The sequence below is a fragment of the Homo sapiens genome, chromosome 10 (assembly GCF_000001405.40).
Source record: "Homo sapiens chromosome 10, GRCh38.p14 Primary Assembly".
In the NCBI taxonomy this organism is placed as follows: domain Eukaryota; kingdom Metazoa; phylum Chordata; class Mammalia; order Primates; family Hominidae; genus Homo; species Homo sapiens.
Window position 1 is genome coordinate 8896623 of NC_000010.11, and position 18425 is coordinate 8915047.

Genomic DNA, 18425 nt, shown 5'->3' on the forward strand with positions numbered 1-18425 from the left:
AAAATCAGGGTAAGTCCCATCCAGTGTGTTGTAGATATTTTTTTCATTGATTTTAATCTAAACACATTAATTCTCTTTTAAAATTAAGCATTTTCCCACAAACTCAAAGGTCACCAGAGAATTTGTTCAAGACTTAAAAAAAAGTTCTATTTGTGTTTTAGATTCAGGCAGAACATGTATAGGTTTGTTACCTGGGTATATTGTGTGATGCTGAGGTTTGGAGTATGATTGATCCTATCATCAAGGTAGACCATAATATTCAACAGGTAGTTTTATAGCCCTTTCCTTTTCCCTCCCTCCCCCTCTGTTAGTCCTCAGTGGCCATTGTTCCCATCTCTACATCTGTGTGTACCCAATGTTTAGCTCCCACGTATAAGTGAGAATATTGGTATTTGGTTTTCTGTTCCTGCATTAATTTGCTTAGGATAATGGCCTCTGGCTGCATCCATGTTACTGCAAAACATGATTTCACTCTTTTGTAGGGTTGTGTCATATTCCATGGTGTATATATACCACACCACATTTTCTTTATTCAGTCCACCACTGAGAGTCACCTAGGTTGATTCCATGACTTTGCTATTGTGACTAGTGCGGCAATGAACATATGCATGAATGTATCTTTTTGGTAGAATGATTTATATTTCTTTGGGTACACACCCCGTAATGAGATGGCTAGGTCAAACGGTAGCTCTGATTTTAGTTCTTTGAGAAATCTCCAAACTGCTTTTCACAGTGGGCTGAGCTAATTTACATTTCTAACAACAGTGTATAAGTGTTCCCTTTTCTCCGCAGCCTCGCCAGTATCTGTTATTTTTTTACTTTTTACCAACAGCCATTCTGACTGATGTGACATGATGTCTCACTGTGGTTTCGATTTGCATTTCTCTGATGATCAGTGATGTGAGCTTCTTTATTTACGTTTGTTGGCTGCTTGTATGTCTTTTTTTGGGAAGTATCTGTGACTTCTTTTGCATTAATAATCTGTATAGGTTAAGTAAGAGCAATCTTCAATAGTTAACTGAATATCATATTAATGATCTGCTTCATTTTGAGTAAACTAGTGCTTCTATTCCAGAAAGTGGTATAAAAAAAACCTGGTGAATATAATATAATATAATAAATATAATACTTTCTGTATATAATGTGCCCGACTGAAAAATTTATGATTATATTTTCCAAGTAAATTACTAGATTTGCACAGCTAGGTTTAAAAGAGAAAAAGGTCAGCAAAAAAGGTGGGGTGGGTTATGGTAATTTCCATACACCACACCCCAAACTGGCAAAGGTATATCACAATTAATCATCTTATGACGTTAGAAGAGTGTCTGTTTCCACCCGAGTTACACATTGGCAGAGATATGCATGCATTGAATTCTGCTACACTTTAAACAAAGGATACAAATTGCTAAGGAAAGGACAGTCTCAGCCAGCAATATCAATTCTCAGAACCAGAAGAGAAAGTAAGATCTTTTCACATGCTTTCCGTTCTTTCCGTTGCATTTTGCATTCTTCTTATCCATTCTATTTCCTTTCCCACCCCTCCTAGGCCTCTATCGATTAAGGTTGTACTGTTCCACTGCTTTCCACCAGGGTCCAGTGGCTACATCCCTCTCCTTGTCAAAATCTGCTTTAAAGAAAGCCTCTGATAATCTTTCCCCCACTCCCCGGCCCTTGGGTAGAGCAATAATTTAAAGTATTGCCATACCCAGAAGAGTTGCATTTTAACAGGAATCAAATGCCTTGGGGTAAGAAATGAAACTCTTCTTATATAATTTCAGGCATCAGTAAGCAGATGGGACATTTATCTGAGGGGTTTTCCTAGTCTCTGGAACTCTGTGGGACTTCTCCAATCCCATCTATGTAGAAAGTTATTCCAGACATTGCTAATGTTACCATCATCTGCATCATGTTTTATACTCTAACACGTCGCTAACTTCAGAAAACTCAGCTTCCCTGTATACCAGCCTTATGCTGGACAATGTGCATCAAGTTCCCATATGAAACTCTTCTACAACTGCCTTCCCCAGATTTATTTAGACATTTCAATGCTGACCCATTTTTATTGTTTTACTGTATCTACCCTTAAATAGAAGAATCAGTGACAGGCAGGAGAGAAACATAAACTTGGGAAGGAGAAGAAAAGGAAAAAACTGGAATAACCTATAAAGAATACAACAAAACAATGTAGAGTACAGAGAACATTATCTTTCAAGCTGATTTACAGGTACCATTCAGTTCATTTAGGCTATATCACTTACGGTAGTGGATTCTTTGAATCAGATAATAGTCTCAATCTGTCACTTCCCTGTTCCTTGCATAGATAATACCTCTGAGTCATACTCCCTAGAGCATAGTTAATTGATAAAAGGGTGCTTTTAGGACACACCAAAGTCCAAAAACAAAAAAATAGCAAATCAACATCAAGGCAGCTAACTAGAAAGGAAAAGGAGAATCGTAACTGGTTGCATGATTTGATTGCTAATCTCATCATTGGGAACACCTTCATGATGATGTAACCATATTACATAGTTCTACTATGTATTGGCAGAGTCAATATGATTGTAATTGCTGAAATGAATGTATGCTGCTTCAGTTCACTTAATTAGACAGACATCCTTTGGCTGACTATAGTTTATTTGCTGTGACCACCACTGCTCTAAGTGAAAAATCTTATTTCTGGGTTAAATTCTAGACTATATCCTACCTGGCCTTTACTTCCTTTGAGTCTCTCCACTATAGTAGGCTCTACACAACAGTTACCACTTTAATCTTCCGAGAAGTGATGGCCATTGTGTCATATTCCTTTCCCCCAAATATTTTATAGTTATCTGATTTCTAAAAGATAAAGACAAAATCCTTTAGTTTATCACTCAGTACTTTGTAGTCTAAATCTACCTACTTTTCAACCTAATTTCTCATGAATCTCCTGCATTAATCCTCCACTTTATTCTGGGTTTTTACCCATTTGTCTCCCAATTCCCCTAGAATTGAGTTAAGGTGGAGTCTCACTCTGTCACCCAGGCTGGAGTACAATGGCATGGCATGGTCTCGGCTTACTGCAACCTCCACCTCCCAGGTTCAAGCAATTCTCCTGCCTCATCCTACAGAGTAGCTGGGACTACAGGCATGTGCCACCACGCCCGGCTAATTTTTGTATTTTTAGTAGAGACGGGGTTTCACTATGTTGGCCAGGCTGGTCTCGAACTCCTGACCTCATGATCCACCCGCCTTGGCCTCCCAAAGTGCTGGGATTACAGGTGTGAGCCACCGCGCCCAGCCTGATTCTGCTGCTTTCTAGTTATATGACCTTGCATAAGTTACTTGACATCTTTGTACTCAGTTTACTCATCTGTAAAATAAAATAGCTATATCTTGTATCTCCTAGAATTTTTATGAAGATTATAATTTTAAACTTGATCAATATTCAGATTAATACTTTGCTATTATGAATCATTTTAAATTTGTTATTAAATAACAAAATAAAGCAGATAGCTATTATTTCACTGAATTCTAAGTACCACGAGAGTGACTTACCGCATATATTTTGCTATATCTCCTGAATTCAGAAGAGTTCATGGCACTTTCAAGACAATAAATGCTTGTTGAATAATAATAGTAATTATTATGCATCTTATTTTGGGCTCTAATTATTATTACTCTTCTGACAGAGGCATGCATAAATGTTACAAGTGTGGCCAGAGTGATACTCTACCTAAATTGTCTACATTTACAAGCCTTGTTTTTTGAGTATATTGTATGAGAAAGTTAAAAAGTCAATGCTTCTCATTACACTAAATTCACTTTTCTGCCTCACGGACATTTGGTAAACCATGGCACCTACATATTTACACCTATAGACGTCTGTAAATTGTTTAAGTTACCCAACAATGAATAGATAATTTTAAAATAATAATACCAGGTTCATGTGTTTACTTACTTGTGACCAATTAATTAAAATTTTATATCTTGTCATCTTATAACAAATGATCACTGATCCTATGAAACAGTTTCAAAATGGGGCTTTGAATAAAGACTATTTATGACGAGTCCAGAGTGTGAACTTTACAGAGAGTAATGCTTATGTGGAGTCTTTTATTTGTGGTAAGAAATGATTTAATTTTTTAAAAAATTATCCTTGAATCCCCACTGCTCGAAATTACTTCTGTTTATGTACAGAGAGTTGAGCTAGTGGAGGAAAAGGCATATAAATTAATGGGGTCCTTTCCTCCACTTGAGTACAACAAAGCTTCAAGATCGAGGATGTGATAGGAACCACGGCCAAATAACGCTTACAAACTTTAACAATCAAACGAATCCCTCTTAGCAAGGGGAGAAAATATAAAACATGAACTGCTGCTTGACACAGAACCTGGGCTAGGAGGTGAACAGGCTGTAAAGACTTGTTCCATTGATTCAGTTACTTGGTTTTACTTTTAGAATTCAAGAAATAAGGGTATTTATCTCAAGAAAAAGGGCTCTGGTCTCCATCCCACTTCATATTTTATTTTAAATGGAGAAGTTCATATTAAGCAAATGCTTTGGAAAACAGGTAAATATGGTCAAGCCCCTAAGAGTAACTCTATGTGTTTTTCTCACCAATATGTCCTCAGTTCTAGAGCAGTTTTTGACACATAATTGGGGAATTGGTAATAATTTGTTGAATGTTTCAAGTCTTTCTTATGAAGATATCCTAGACTTTAGATAGTCAACAAATAAATAAATTGATTGACCAATTATTTACAGTTTGCTTCATTGTCTTAGCATCCTATATCGATATTTTTAATTCTCAGAACCCTTTTAAGAATTGAGATGAAAGTGTGTTGATGACCTTCTATCCCTAAATATTCCAGTGTGTATTATTAAAAATAAGAGCACTCTCCAATATCACCACTACATGAATTAGGAAATTTAACATTGCTAATGTTAAATATATAACACATTGTCTAATCCACAGTCTATATTCAAAGTCTTTAATTGTCCTAATAATTCTTTGTTTTTTGAGACAAGAGTCTCACTCTGTCACCTAGGCTGGAGTGACACCCCGTCTGCCATGGCACGACTGTGGCTCACTGCAGCCTCAAACTCCTGGGCTCAAGCCATCCTCCCACCCCAACCTTCCAAGTAGCTGGAACTACAGGCATACACCAGCACACCTGGCTAATTTTTGCAGTTTTTGGAGACATGAGGTTTCACTATGTTCCCCAGGCTGGTCTGGAACTCCTGGGCTCAAGCGATCCACCCATCTTGGCCTCTCAAAGTGCTAAGATTATAGGCGTGAACCAACATGCCTGGACAATAATATTTTTAATAAGATCCAGTCCAGAATCACACATTGCATTTAGTTTCATGAGATTTTAGTTTCATGTAGTCTTGAACAATTTCTCAGTCTTTGTCTTTCTGGGCCTTGGCGTTTTTGGAGATTGTTCAATTATTTTTGTATAAGGCACTCCGATTTCAGTTTGTCTGATGTTTCTTCATGATATGATTCAAATTATGCAGTTTTTGGGAAGAGGACAGGAATACCACAAATGTGATGTGGTGTCCTTCTCGGTATGTTATTTCAGGAGGCACTTGAATTTGGTTTGCTATTACTGATGACTTTAGTTGTAGTTGCTTGATAAATGTGCTGTCCACTCGGTTTCTCAACCATAGTCTCTATTTTCCTCTTTGTATGTATTTGTGAGAAGACACTCAGAGACTGTGAGGGGAGACTGTGAGACTAATGTGTGTTTCTGAGGGGATGCTCTAAGACTGTGCAAATATCCTCTTCTTCACCAAACTTTGAACTACTGGTTTTAGCATATTCATTGATGATTTTCTAACTCTATCACTGTATCCCAGATTATTGATTATAAGCAGAGTTTTAAAGAGATATTTTCAAGATATTTTCAACTATGTATAATGAAAAATTTAAAAAGCCATATTAGAGATAAGTGGATGCATAGATTAGAGCCACAGAGATTAGAAAAATGAACATCATTTTAACTCTGGGGGACTTTTTTTTTTTCCAGCAATGAGATTCTTTCTCTTTAGCCACGGCACCAAACTCTGAACCGGCTGAGCCTGGTTAGCCCTTGATTCATTGTATAAGTGTGAGTAAATTCCTAAATCACTTTGAACTTGATTTCTTTCTCCTTAAAAACATTATTATTATTAACAATATATATTATATAATAAAGGTATCATAATATTATATATTATTAATATATAATATTGCTGTATAACAATACTGTTGTTATATATAATAATATTGGGTCTTCCTTTATTTCCCAAGAATGAGTAAAAAAAAATCATTATGATGGACATTTGAACTCTTTGATGAAAGGTAATTTATCAAGCCCAGATCAAGTTATTAGTTCCTATTATGTCTATAAATATTCTTCTTGTTTCTGAGGGCACTATATCTCCCAAACTTTATTCTATATGAGACACCACTGCCAACTCCCATGACCTCATTTTTGGAACACGTAACAGCTCTTGCCAAAGGAGTCTGACACAAATGAAGCGTCCTCTAGCCTCAAGTCTTCCTTATTCACACTTTCTCTTTAAAAACATTTCTGATTGATGCTCAAGGCATCTATTTCACAATCTTAATTTCAATTTGCCTCACCCTTAGGTGGGACTCTCTCCTGCTGATTTTGCAAAAGTTCAACTTTTTCTATTTGCAACTACCTAGATTGGAAATGGTTAGAGACTGAGACAGTGTAACTGGCAAATTGACTCCCCACTGGGACTAACTTGGCTCAGCCTCCCAGTTCTAAGGAAGGCTCGCCACCAACTCAGGGAGCAGAAACGTTGTCTGCAAGTGGGGATTCTCCTAGCTGAGTTCTCTTTTGAGAAGATACATAGAGCATAAGTACAGACCAGTATGGAGCTATTCTGGAATAACCTTTGAATTTAATGGGAGAAATAGCCATGCTGCAAAGTACTTTCAAAGGCAGCCCTTTAGCCCCACAGACTTAACTTGTGAGATCAGCCTGTTTCTGATCATCCTTTGTAAAACACACAAGAGGAGTGACACATTGTCATTCTCTCACCTAGATATAAACCCACATCATTTACTCAAACTAGATTAATCCTCTTAACACCTCTGCAATGAGGACTGTCTGCACTCAATTGCAGAACAATTCTTGCAATTGGTTCTTGTCTCAGCAGGAAGCACATAGGAGGCCTCACGGCTAAGGCAGAAATTGTCTTCCATGCTCTGGCAGCTCATTGGTGGGATGTAACTGAATGGCCTGGTTTGATTCCAGTTTGCTTGTATTTACCTGGGTTCCCTGATTCCCTCCCAAGTACAGGCCTTGTTACTGTAACTATAGACACACTCTATCTCAATGAACTTTATTTGTCTCAACTTTTCCTTGGCAATCTGAGCTCTGGCTTCTCATGCTTACTTGTTGTGGCCAATAGCCCCAGTGCAGCAGGAGTGGAAATGCATCATATGTTGAAATAAACTGGAAATTGAAGCATTAAAACCACTCTGATTCCTATTTGGGTGACTGCCACATCCCTTTCCACCAAAGAGTTCATTGGACATCTCCGGGATATTCAGCCACTCCTATAAAACTGGCATGTTGTGAATCAAAATAGCATATTTTGCTATTTTTGCATAGCTAATGCCAGTGGTCTACAGAATGAGCTGATGACTTAAATAAATTAGTTCCTTCCAGTTCTAATTTAATTCTGTGAAAAACTCAAACTGAGGTAGTGACATCGTATCTTAGCCTAAGAAGAGATTTTTCACATGAGAAAAATCAAGCCTAAGGATTGGATAACTCATTCCAAAATGAAACAGACCATCTGGACTTAAAGTTTTGGTTTTCTGCACCTTAGTTTTACCTTTTAATGACTTTAAAAACTGAAGAATAAGAAGGAAAAGAAAAACCCCTTGGGGAAAAATGTAGTTGGTTTTAACATTGTTAGTATCAGTATTACCACCACAATTAAATCCTGTGCTCAGTGATATGGATATGTCACTTAACCCTGTTTGTCCTTGACTCAGAAGACTTGGAAGATACAGTGAAACACCTTTAGTGTTTTTCTAAAGACAAAATTTGCATTCTTTTTCTTTAGGAATATCTACATTTCCCAGTAGTACTTTGAATTTGATCATGTGCACAGATGTGATTGATGTTGATTTTGAGCATGTGTAAGCTACATACTAGGCTATGGACATATCATAAAATCAAACATGGCAAGATAGGGCTTTAGGAATTGGCCCAAGGGCTTCAGCCAGAAAATGATCTCAAGTCTCCTTAGACATTTAATACTATATATTTAATATATTTTTCTTGAATTTTAATCACAGTTGAAATTCTCTAAAAGTCTGAATTAGTTGTCTTTGATCTTTTTAGTTCAATAGATTAAAAGTCTCAAAGCATCTCTTATAACAATATAGTTTTTAAAAAGCTTTCTAAAAGTAAAGATTAATGGTATTTTTCATGATAATAAATGCATTTTAACTGCCAAAGCCGAAGCTCAAGAGTGAAATGTGAAGTTGTGCACAATTTTAGGAAGATTTGAGCATTCTTAGGAGTTGAGGATCAACTGCCCAATTTTAATGACATCTTATTTGGCTGATCTTCAGGAAAAAATGGGTTTTGGACTTTTCTTGCAATCTTTTTCCTGCTTCTCCAATCGTCAGACAACATACATACACGCAGACCTACAGACATACACACCCACAAATCAATAAGGAGTCAAGGAGAGGTTGTCTTTTCAAAATGTGACTGCATTTAACATTTTGAAAACTTTTCAAACTGGACTCAATGCAGTTGAATGCTTGAAGTGTTCAGAGAGATTTAAAGACATGTACTCCTTCCTGTTAGCCCCACACGGTTTAATGGGTGAGATGAGAGATCACCTCAAGATTATTTCCAAGCCAAGAACAGAAAAGATGAAGAAAAACAAAATCAAACAAAAATGTTAGGCCTTTTATATGCTAGATCTTTTGTATATTAGTGATCTAGCATAGCAGGGAGGTACTTTAAAAAGGAACACACAGGATATTTACTTATATCTATGTATTTATGCATTATACACATATAAAGATGATTTGTCTGTCCTACCTGAAGATTCAATCATTTTCTTCTAATTGCGGATCTAGTTACACAATCTGTCTACATTTAATTTGCTGTTAAAAATATATACTATGACAACCCAATTGCCTATCAGTGATAGACTGGATAAAGAAAATGTGGCACATACACACCATGGAATACTATGCAGCCATAAAAAAGAATGAGTTCATGTCCTTTGCAGGAACATGGATGAAACTGGAAACCATCATTCTCAGCAAACTGACACAGGAACAGAAATCCAAACACCGCATGTTCTCACTCATAACTGGGAGTTGAACAATGAGAACACGTGGACACAGGGAGGGCCTGTGTCACACACCGGGGCCTGTCAGGGGGTCGGGGGTAGGGGAGGGATAGCATTAGGAGAAATACCTAATGTAGATGACGGGATGATGGGTACAGTAAACCACCATGGCACGTGTATACCGACGTAACAAATCTGCACGTTCTGCACATGTATCCCAGAACTTAAAGTATAATAAAAATTATAATAAAATAAAGCATAATAAAAATTATATCTATACATCTATATATAGAAAGAGATATAGATAGATAGATATAAGTGCATTCTCCAGAAGGCAATTGCTTCTCCCCAAAACATGTTCTACTTCTTTTAAAGCCTCTGGTAAAACTTTTATCTAAGCCATCAGATTTAGCAATTTGTAACTGATCTAATCTCTCCACAAAATCCTTGCTTACTGAAATTGCATCCAACAGTTTCTCACTATAAACCATTCAGCTCACATAAAACTGAATGACAAACTATGTCTTTCTTCTTTTTTATTTTCATAGTCTCATGCTGTTTTTCTTTTAACCCCTCCAAATAGATAAGCTTCATCAGAAATCATAAATCATTTCAGCAATTACCAGGTATGGCATTATGAAATAGATAATCATTTAGAATTAACATAATAAACATAAAGAACCGCAATATCGGCCATCATCAGATGGAATTTAAGTAATTACAATATTCTTTTTCATTAATCCTCCAATAGAATATAAGTGTTTCTAAAGGTTTATAGGTGAGTGCCATTATCTGAAAGAGGCTTTCTTTTTATTCCTTTATTATTTAATGCATTCACTCATTCATCAAACATTGATTATTATCTAAGCACCAAATATTATGTAAGTATAGAGGATATAATGATGAACAAAAATAGGCACATGATTCATAATTGTTTAGTTTAAACATAAAATTGTCTCAATAATTAACTATGAGGCTGAATGACAAATGTCTATTACATAAACCTCTTTTGAATAGGCAATTTTGTTTGGGAAAAAAACTTATCCTTGTCTTCTCTATTAATTACTGGGTTGTCTAGCATTGTGTTTGATGCAAATTAGGTGCTCAATTAATACATATTTAATGATGAAATTTATGTTTATATTAATATAAAATCTTTGATCTTCTAGATTTTGAAATTCCACTTATTACAGTTTCTTGAGTCTCATTTTGAGCTTATAATAAAGGTCTTTATTTCACTGTGAACCCAAATTCTGGCCAGTACCTAAACTACTTCTTCACAATAAATACGTCACTATTTCTTGGGCTGCCTAAATTACATGGATTTTATTATATCTGGATTTCCATAAATCCCCACAAGTGCCTAACCTAATGGGCAGAAGGTATGGCATTTGTGAAATTGGGACCTGAGAATCCAGGTGATTCCTAACAGTAAATAAGATTAATCCCATGAAACTAGGAAAATTTGCTTAATGTATATGTTATTTGAAGTCTTGTCATACCCTGAAACAATTGGGCTTAAATGCCGGAAAATGAGAGATCAATGTGAGAAGATGAGAAGGTACTCTCCAATTTTTTGTGCCCCATAGTACTTTGCAGAAAAGGCATTTAATGGCTATCTACGGAGCAAGTGGTTGATTGACAGGTTGAATCAATTATTTTTTCCTGGGAAAGTAAATAGGAGTACTGAAAAGTGTAAAATCAGTTCTATGTTGAGATTTCCAGATGTGATTTGCAATGTCATAACTTTGACATGTGACAACAAAAGATGAGTCTGTCTTAGATAGAATCAATATACGATGATTCCCTCCTTTTCTCCTGTTCGACTCAGCTGCAAGAAAACTTGTAGTTCTCCAAGCATGACGAGGCTGGCTGACTTCTGTGCAACTTCAGTTTTTCCCTGAAGTTGTAGTTCTTTCAGAGCCCTGCTTAAGGTAGGATGGATGCCTCCCAGTGGATGGTACATATTGGATAGGTGCAGAGACTTGGTCTCTGTCTCTCTTGCCCTGAAGTTCAAGTTTTTCTGAATTAACCTATGTCCTCAGAATGCCACTTACTCCTCTGGTTACCGCTCTAAGATTCTGGCCTGGTTATTTCTTAACTAATCTAATGGCTGTCTGATGCTTCTAAAGAACATTTATGCCATTATCCTCAGCAAACTAACAGAGGAGCAGAAAACCAAACACTGTATGTTCTCTTATAAGCGGAAGCTGAGCAGTGAGAACACATGGACACAGGGAGGGAAACAACACACACTGGGGCCTGTTGGGGGCGCAGGGGGAGGGAGAGCATTAGGATAAATAGCTGATGCATGCAGGGCTTAGTACCTGGGTGATGGGTTGATAGGTGCAGCAAACCACCAGGGCACACGTTTACCTATGTAGCAAACCTGCACTTGCATCTCAGAAATTAAAATTAAAATTAAATTATATTAAAAAACTATCTAGTATCCCTTTTAGTTTTCAGTAGGAAGATTGTTGTAAACAACCTAATATGACTTATTTACAGAAACAGAAGCTGGAATTATCAATAGTGTTTTTTTATTAATGGATTTCTTTTGGATTGCACCATTCTACAACAGCCAGCATGATACTGACCACAAGACAGTCTAAGTAGAAAAATGCTACCTTAGAATTGGCTCATGTTCTAAAATTCCTATATCTTCTCTTTTAAAAAATGCCCAATAAACTACAGATTTGCAAATTTTCTTTCTATATTTATAGATAATTCCATATATGGGATATGCTAAGATATTGGGATATAACGTTTGCACAGTTTCGCATCTTTTATTACTAGTGTTCTGCCTTTTCAGTGATGTACTAAAAGATTTTGGACAAATGAATCCCCATGATATCAGCTTGATTTTGAGTGTTTAAAACAAAATCTTCTTTAAATGCTTCCTTCCTCATTCTTTCCATATTTTATGGTATTATTTTTCATTCTGAATTAGCAGCATCTTTGAATTATTCTCATTTCACCAAAGTCATCTGTTATAATGATATTATTACTTGATAAAGTACAATGTCATTTAATTAACTCCTCACCTCCTGGATAAATTTTATGTGATCACATGTATTTATTCAACCCATACTTAATGGATGCCTAATATATGCTAGGCACAATGTTAGACATTGAGAAGCAGATTAGTTGCAGAAAAATTGTTGCACAGTTGTTCTACTTTTACTGTCTCCATTACAGAATCTTTTTCATTATTTTTGAAAGGACTTTGCAGTGGAATAGCTAATATGTTATCTTCAACATGATTTCCTTTTCATGACACTCCCTAATCATTTCCCAATATTGGTAAAATGAGGACATGTGAATCAATTGTCTCTGAATTCATTTTTAAATGACTCATGGAGATAATCATCTAAATAGGAAAATATGAAGCACTTATATTTTATTTCTTCATATTAAAGGTCCCTTAAGAATACCTCTACTCAAATAAAATGCACCAGTGTTAATGTTTTCTGGAACATATTTAATTCAGTAGTAGTTTAGTTGACTTATCTCTCATCTCTATGAAATTTAATGTCTTTTCTTATTCTTCAGGACAAAACTTTTACTTGAATGCATTGTTTCAGGTGTATCAGTTGAAATACAAATAGAACTGTTGCTATATATACGACATTTATAGCATCAAAAATAAGATCCAGTTCTTCTGCATATATTAAAAAAACTGATTCAAAAATCAGTAGGTTTGGTTGAATATATGGGGACATAATAGGGTCTTGAATGTAGTTGCAGTGCTCTACTCCATATTATCTTATAATTCTGAAGTTACACATCTTTCTAAAGATGTAAGGACAATGTATTATGTACTGAATATTTATCTGAGAGCACACTGACTTAATATGTTCTTTCAAGTCTACTCTTGGAATTTCTTTCCACATTGAAATGTAAGGCTTGATTAGCGCATAGAAAGTATACATTTCGGAACATTATGCTTATTCCTACCAAATATAAAGTTTCATTATTTTTTGAAATAAAGAATTAATTATTTTAAACCCTTAGAGAAATGGGATGAGCAAAATTTTAATAGTGATCATTATTCTAGAAACATCCTATGTTAACCCAAATTTAGAACTAAGAAATATACACTTCAATAAATTATCCCCATAAGAAATTTCTCTACAAATTATAGTTTGCATCTCATGTGATCATAACATTAAGCTTGAAACTTAACAATTCTACATCATTTTTTGTACTTAAAACACCTTGGAACAGCATTAACTAATTAATCAAATTAGATAACAATTCTGTTATGAACTGAAAATTATATTGAATCATTTGCTGCAGAATATCAAGATGGCATATGTATAGATGTCATTTTTGAAGTAATGATTATAGCCATGTGCAGTAAAGTATTTATTACCTTATCTAATTAATACACATTTTGGCATGTCAGGGTTTGTGGGTAATTATAGTTTTCTATTGCGGTAATAATTTGTATGATTTATGAAGCCTATGAAACAACAATGTGAGCCAAAAAGCTGTCTGGAATAATTACAGTTAAGCAGCGTGATCAACAGGTATGCCCAGCCAAGAGAACACAGCCCTGGGGATAAGATCCTCAAACAAACAGAAGCGACTGGAGCTGTTCAGTTCTCAGCCTGCTTTTTCTCACCTGAAAAAAAATGGCCCACCCACTGTTCTCAGCTGTGTTAACAAAGCACTGATTGCTTGAGTCTATGTGGTTATTTTCCAAAGGTTCATGTGCTAATGTGGAGGACTTCATAAAAAAACAAAACAATAATCATGGATCATATAAATTTTCAATTATTTCAAGGAAGACTGAATGTCAACACAGTTAATTTGTTTAAGAATGCCAATGCCTTCTGTGGCTACCGAAAACTTTTACCTAGAATCTGAATTCATTCTACTCCAGTTGGTGATAGAACACTCTTCGCCCTGCCATACTGGCCATTCCAATAGGCTCTGAGTCTGGCATCCTTACTGAAGCGAGATACCTGGAGTCATTGTCCTAGTGGGAATATAGAATAGAGTTTGTCTCCCAAGAATTTTGCTCATATAAAGGAACTGACTGTCCAGAAACTTAAGAGTTGGAAAAGAGCCCAGCTATCATTGTCCACATTTATATAATAAATTTTAGGAAGTTGGTGAGTTGTAGGAGGTCTACAGGTTATTCTTTACTGGACATTGCTTTTGCTTTGCTAAGTCTGCTTTGACCTTCCCATCAGTCATTTTCTTTTGCTTCATATTAATATCCTCAAGGTATGTAATGTTTTAATTGGCTTTCAGCACATACACTGAAGCAGGAGATCCTATCTCACGGAAAGAAGCAGCTGTAAATTTCTGTGAACTGTTCTCAATATGAGGGGAGTTCTTAAATTAGTTTGATCTTTCTCAGAAAGACTAACACATTTATATCTTGCAGGAGTATATTGAATTTTTAGTTATTAACTCCAGGTAGAGCCAGGTTCTTACTGTCTTTTTATACTGGAAGACTAAAAGATAACATCAAATAATACTGACTGTTGAAAGCAGTGTCATAGGATATTCCACTTTAAAATTAATGCTATATTGTACAGTCAGCAATCCATAGCATGATAGCCACTTTTGTGTAAGTCGGAAAGTTATACTGCAAGAAAAGGGCAACAGCTCCACAAGTGGTCTGGAATGGAAATCAGGAATTTCTCTTGACACATTAAACTAAGCAGTCTCCTTCACTGACCCCAAATTTATCAAGGACTCGTTTTATGGTGAGTCAAGGCAAAGAAAGGAAACAGATGAGGTAGATCAAGGACACGAATTGGGGCCTGGAGAATCTGTAACTCATGCCAACCTCAACCCTTGGTGACAAATTGTCTTTGAACTGTCAAGCCTTCTCTCACAATGGGTTAATCGTCATCTAAAATGAAAATCCCTCTCTTTGACTTTGAAAATATTTGTTAGAGGAAAAAAAGTGGAATAAACACACACACACACACACACACAAATAGCAAAGAAAATTTTTTCATTCCAAACAAGAAGCTACTTTTGGTAGAAAATGTGTCATTTTTAGGAGCAGTAAAACATTAAAGATGAATATCCTTACTATTTGAATCCTAAAGTTACATTTAGGCCTTTTCTATTTTATTGGGCACAGTAGAAAGTTCAGGTCAAATGGTAACTCTAGAAAGAAACAATATCTGTGCTTTTAAATGTTTTAAGTAGAATTTTAGAGATAGATATTTAAGTAATTAAGTCCATTCTGCCCCTGGGCTTAGCATGCAGGCAACGTCCAAAATGCCCATTCCCTTGCCTCCTCGTCTCTATTCTAACGCGGCAGCTTGTCCCCTTCTCCCACACACAGAGGCAGACACACATGCTTCCTGTAGCTTCCTGTAAATGACAATGGCCCCAGTAGGTTAAAACCCTTCCAAGAAAACAAACAAACAAAAAAGGTAAAATAAAGTTCAGAAATCCAAAGGTCAAAGAGTAGAGTGAAACCAAAAGCTATGTCAGGAAATTAAGGGGAGGTTAAAAACAGGGTGAAAACATACTGTTAATCTCCATGATTACAACTTCATCTTACAGTTTGCTTCTCATCATGGATGAGGACAGTTTGGTGAAACTGAGGTTGGAATTATATATGTGTAGCATGGATGCATATATGTATATATATGCACACACACATAGAAACAAATACACTGTTGCACATGTTTAATACTGTATGAGCTTTCATGTACACCTTTGCATAAAAACTAAGATTATGCATTAAAAACATTTTACATCTTCAACGGCTTTTGCTGTCATTTCTGGGCATCACTCATGTCTTTTCCTTTTTTGGTAATTGGCTAACTTCTATTTCTTTAATATTTGCCACTTACCAAAATTGATGCTGTTATTCAAAGAATGCATTTTATGAAGATTTCAATTAAGGCTATGTGTGTATAGTAGTTCGCTTTTTCAAATTATGGGTGTCCTTACAAAATTGATTTATTAACCATACATTTTATTTTATTTTAAAATTTAATCATACACTTTAAAATAAAATAAGGTGTATGGTTAATAAATACACTTTATTTATTTATTTATTTATTTATTTATTTATTTATTTATTTTTGAGAAAGGGTCTCACTCTGTTGCCCAGGCTGGAGTGCAGTGGTGCAATCTTGGATCACAGCAACCTCGGCCTCCTGAGCTCAAGCGATCCTCCCACCTCAGCCTCCTGAGTACCTGAGACTACAGGCACATCCCACCAAACCCCAATAATTTCTTCTGCATTTTTTGTAGAGATGGGGTTTCCCCAGGTTGTCCAGGCTGGTCTCGAACTCCTGGATTCAAGACATCAGCCCACCTGAGCCTCCCAAAGTGCTGGGATTTCAAGTGTGATATTTATCATAGACTCTAAAAATATTAAAGTGACTGCTATTAAAAATATGAAGCTATTAATGTTATTTCCCAGAATCATTTACATGTGGGCAAGTCTTGTTCACCTTGTCCAGTTGTTTTTTTCCACCATTAGTTTCTTGTTCAAATGCATTATCTGATAATGTCGTTATATGAATGTACTCTTGACAAAGGCGCTAACAAAGCTGCAAATGAACACAGTTTATACCTGGTGTCGGTAGTCAACAGGCTCTGTGTTCTTCATTAAATGGTGACCAAACCGGAGGTGTTGCCGGGAATTACAGTGCCTCTTCTTTCCAGGAACTGTCTTCTTTCACCTCAAGAAGCAAAGGCTCTCTTTCATTTTGTTTTGCTCTCAAGAGCTTCTTTCACAGGGAATATAAACACACAAAAATCTTGTGTATCTTTAGACATTTTTTTTTCAATTGTCCAGAAAATTATTCTCTGAAGAGTAGCTTCCTTGCTTTGAAGATGCAGCTCTTTTGACCTTAACTCTTTTCATTACCCACTTTTTGGCAGTGACCCCCCTAAAACAAGAAAAACGATGAAGATGAACAACCTGAACTGGACTCCTGCCAAGTCCACAAACCGATTTTGCAAGTGAGATGACTCATCGCCAGAAGAATTGTAGACCTATTGACCTTAGCATTTATTTATTTTTTATATTTTGAGACAGGGTCTTGCTCTGTCACCCAGGTGGAGTGCAGAGATGCAATAATAGCTCACCTCAGCCTCCCGAGCTCAAGTGATCCTCCCACCTCAGTCTCCCCTGTAGCTGGGAACCACAGGTGCCACCACTACACCCTGCTTATTATCTTTTTAAATTTTTTTTTGTACAGATAGAGTCTCACTATATTGCCTAGGCTGACAGAGTATTTTTTTCCTTAATTATTCTTTATTCTCAAATGCAGTGAACAGTCACAGTAGCCCACCATAGGGGGTTCATTTTCAGACATTACAGTAACTAGGGGAATTTTATTAAGGAGCCAGCAGCTAAACCATTATTGTTATTATTCTTCTTCTTTAAACCAAACTACAGACTTATTCAGATTTCATCAGTCTTCCCATCAGTGCTGTCTTTCTGGTCCATGATCCAATGTAGGATTCCACATCACAGTTAGTTTTTATCACTCTATGTCCTCTCCCACTCTGTGATGGTTCCTCAGTATCTCTTTGTCTTCCAGGACCTGACACTTTTGAAGAGTATTGGACAGCTATTTTGAAGAATGTCCTGCAATTCTGCCTAATGTGTTTCAATGAATAAATGTTACACGTGCATTGTTGGCCAAGAGTACCACAGAAATGATAAGCCCTTCTTAGTGTATCAAATCAGGTAGTGTGGGATGTCAATATGTCTTATTACTGGTGATTTTAATCTTGATCACTTGGCTGAGATGGCATCTTCCAGGTGTTTCCATTTTTAAAATTACTATTTTTCCTTTAGCAATGAATGGGTATCTTGAGGGTGATAATTTTGCACTAGGCACATATAATCTTTCTCCTCAAAGTTTTACCCATGAATTTTGGCTTTCATTGGCACATCTTGCCTGCAACAATTATTACTGTGGTATCCTATTGGTGAATTCATATTTCCATCTTCTTTCTACATTTATTCATTGGGAGAGCTGTTATTTCCCATTCATTCATTCATTCATTCATCCATTTCTTTATGTCATAGACTCATAGAGGCTTATTGTATTCTCTTGGTAAAAATAATCTATTAATTTTTTTATATTATACTTTAA

General features: G+C 36.1%; 1 long non-coding RNA gene across 1 annotated transcript; it reads left to right on the forward strand.

The window, feature by feature from the left end:
• The first annotated feature begins 1366 nt into the window (after nt 1-1366).
• On the forward strand, nt 1367-17974 carry LINC02676 (long intergenic non-protein coding RNA 2676). The gene is made up of 4 exons (NR_131944.1): nt 1367-1460; nt 6012-6092; nt 17200-17280; nt 17865-17974. It is a non-coding gene; the product is annotated as a long intergenic non-protein coding RNA 2676 (long non-coding RNA).
• Nucleotides 17975-18425: the final 451 nt, after the last annotated feature.